The sequence below is a fragment of the Homo sapiens genome, chromosome 5 (genome assembly GCF_000001405.40).
Source record: "Homo sapiens chromosome 5, GRCh38.p14 Primary Assembly".
Lineage (NCBI taxonomy): Eukaryota > Metazoa > Chordata > Mammalia > Primates > Hominidae > Homo > Homo sapiens.
In genome coordinates, this window is record NC_000005.10 from 65,893,629 (window position 1) to 65,897,048 (window position 3,420).

Below are 3,420 nucleotides of genomic sequence, written 5' to 3' on the forward strand. Positions count from 1 at the left end.
AAGAAGTGTTCGTTCTTTACCTAGAATCACGAATGGCAGTGATATTTCCAAGTTCTTCAATTTAGGAAGAACTACAATTTATTAGGAAATAAAATGTATAATCAATGTGTTTTAACAGGTCAGCAATTCATTCTGAGTACAGAAATGCTGGAAAGCAGAAATACGCAGTTTTAGTTTAAGGAGGAAAGGTTAAAAAAAAGTTCTCTTTTCCCCACTTTACCCTCTACCTGCTCAGTCTGTAAATTCAAGGATATTTAGATAAAGTCAGTCACTTGCTCAGAACCCTCCAGAGGCTTCCCAGTGGACTGATTGTTAAGCCCCAACTCCCCAGAGTGTAAACATGTAAGCACCCCTCCCTTTCTCCATAACGTGCAACTATGCTCCCCTTGTTCGCACCACTCTTTTTGCTGTTCTTCAAACTTGTAAATTTTTTCTTTGCACTTGCTATTCTTCCCTTCCAATGGGATTATTCTTTCTCTCTTTCTTATTTATTTATTTATTCATTTTTGGAGACAGGGTCTTGCTCTGTCACCGGGCTGGAATGCAGTAGTGCGATCACAGCTCACTACAGCCTCGACATCTAGGGCTCAAGAGAGTCCTGCCTTAGGCCCCCAGGTGGCTGAGACTACAGGCACGCCCCACCATACCTTGCTAATGTTTTTGTATTGATTGTAGAGATGGGGTTTCATCATGTTGTCCAGGCTGGTCTTAAGTGATCCGCCTGCCTAGCCTCCCAAAATGCTGAGATTACAGGTGTGAGCTACCAGGCCCGCCTTTTTTTTTTTTTTTTTTTAACATTTCTTTACATGCCTGTCTCCTTTTCCCCATTCAGATCTCAGCTCAAATCTTCAAAGAGGCCTTTCTTGACCCCCTATGATAAGCAGCTACTTCCCCACCCCCACCCTCTATCACATAACTTTGTTTTGACATCATAGTATTTATTACCTTCTGATTTTATCTTGTTGATTTGTTTGCTTGCTTGTTGTCTGATGCTTCCCTTCTACACAGCCAGAGGCATTGTCTCTTGTTCACCTTTGTTTCTGTATATTCCCATAAAAGTATTCCAACTATTCAACCCATTCATTCAAAAGCTCTGTCCCTGCTTTACTCTCCAGTACTAATCTCCATCTTCTTGTGCCTATCTCTTCTTCTGGGATCTAAGGTTGAAAACATCTAATCCCTAGGTGAATGCTTAAAGGAAGAAAAGAGCAGAAAATTCACTTTGCCTAATATATAACTCATCTTGGAAGATGAAGTTCCTTCTATTAGAATTAGGGATTAGGGGTCGGGCGCAATGCCTCACGCCGGTAATCCCAGCACTTTGGGAGGCCAAGGCAGGGGGATTACCTAAGGTCAGGAGTTTGAGACCACTCTGGCCAAAATGGTGAAACCTCGTCTCTACTAAAAGTAAAAAAATTATCCAGGTGCGGTGACGCATGTCTGTAGTCCCAGCTACTCGGGAAGGCTGAGGCACGAGAATCGCTGAACCCGGGAGGCAGAGGTTGCAGTGAGCCAAGATTGTGCTGCTGCACTCCAGCCTGGGTGACAGAGCTAGACTTCAACTAATAATAATAATAATTATTATTATTATTATTAAGGATTAAGGGCTTTTTACAATTTGCATGCCTCACACTGGTAAGGAAACAGCTGGCTGTGGAGCCTACTGTCCAGGCCAGGCTCTCCATCAAAAGTAGGAGTCCTGATTTCCACCAATCTGGCCTAGACCTGAAGATTTACTTGTTAATCCAAACAATTAGAGTAACTTGAGCTTCATTAGTAAGTGTTCTAGCAGCCAGGGAACCTATCACTTCTACAACTTCATTCATTAGTTCAGCCAATGGTCATTGAGAGCTTACTGATTCCAAGACTTTACTAGGATCATTACAAGACCTTTACAGGGTCACTTTACATGAGAGTTAAAAGTAAATGAGGCCGGGCGCGGTGGCTCACGCCTGTAATCCCAGCACTTTGGGAGGCCAAGGCGGGCGGATCACGAGGTCAGGAGATCGAGACCAAGGTGAAACCCCGCCTCTACTAAAAATACAAAAAGTTAGCCGGGCGTAGTGGCGGGCGCCTGTAGTCCCAGCTACTCGGGAGGCTGAGGCAGGAGAATGGCGTGAACCCGGGAGGCGGAGCTTGCAGTGAGCCGAGATCGCGCCACTGCACTCCAGCCTGGGTGACAGAGCGAGACTCCGTCTCAAAAAAAAAAAAAAAAAGTAAATGAGACATTTTATGTCCTTAGGGAGTTAACAATCTAGTAAGGGGAGACATACAGGTAAATAAAAAATTAGAAAACAGTGTGCAATATACTCTGACAAGAGTGAGTATGGGGTGCCATGGGAGTGTAGAGGGGGTGCCTTACTTAGCCAAGGGCGGGACTCATGCCGAGAAGCTTTCCAAGGCATGCAGCATTTACACTGAGATCTGAAACTGAGTGTGGTTGATAACCAGTATCAGGTGATGCAGAGAAGCCAGAGTGTTCCAAGTGGTGTCTAGTATATGCAAAGACTGTGAAACACTAGAACACACAGAAAGCAGCTCACTGTGGCTACAGTAAGGTTTGGGGAAGCGGGAAAGAAAAGGGTTAAAACAAGTAGGGACCAAATCATGAAAGTCTTATAAAGCCATGTTGAGAAATTTGGACTTAATCCTGAAAATTTGGTAGTAGCAGAGTGACATGATTATGTTGGTGATTTAGAATAATCACTTCAGCTGCAATCTGTAGCTTGGATCTCCGAGGACAAAGACTGAAGTCAAGGAGGTGATTAAGAAGACTTTTGCAGTAATTGAGGCAAGAAATGATAGTGGCCTGGACTATTAGTAGCAGTGGTGATGGGGAGAGAGGATTTGAAATATATTTAGGAAGTATAATCAATAAGACTTGGCATTTGGATGGAGGGGATGATGAATGGGGATGGGTCCAAAGATGACAGGTTGTTGGCTTGGGAAAGCAGGTAGACAGCGAGGCCTTCCTCTAGGTAGGAAATTAAGAGGAGAATATGGGGGGAAAATAAGTTTCGAATACATAGCACATGAGATGCTTCTGTACATCCAGATTGAGATATTTAGCTTACAGTTGTTCATCTAAGGTTCAGGACAGGGGTTTGGGCAAAAGATGTAAAACTGGGAGCCACTGGCATAGAAATGATAACTGGAGCTGTGGGAGTGGATACAACTGACATGGGACATGTTGGAAAAAACAATCAATTCATTTTTTAAAAAAAGGAATTGATTTCTTCAATAAGAACAGCAAAAGTAGACTAGAAATATGCCATCAAAAAGACAAAGGACAGCACTGAAGCCATGTATCATTATTGCTATCAGAATTCAGAGTGCCCAAGATCGCTCAAAAGTTTGAATGAACAAGGTATGGGTAGCTAAGAACATTTTTGGCAGGGTGGTGTGGGGCTACACCACTAC

General features: G+C 43.4%; 1 annotated feature.

The window, feature by feature from the left end:
* Positions 2,505–2,554: a silencer, noted in NCBI's record as "silent region_16060". NCBI's record gives its function as "represses an Ori minimal core promoter by ATAC-STARR-seq in GM12878 lymphoblastoid cells {active_cell/tissue: GM12878}" and the evidence as "EXISTENCE:reporter gene assay evidence [ECO:0000049][PMID:35858748]".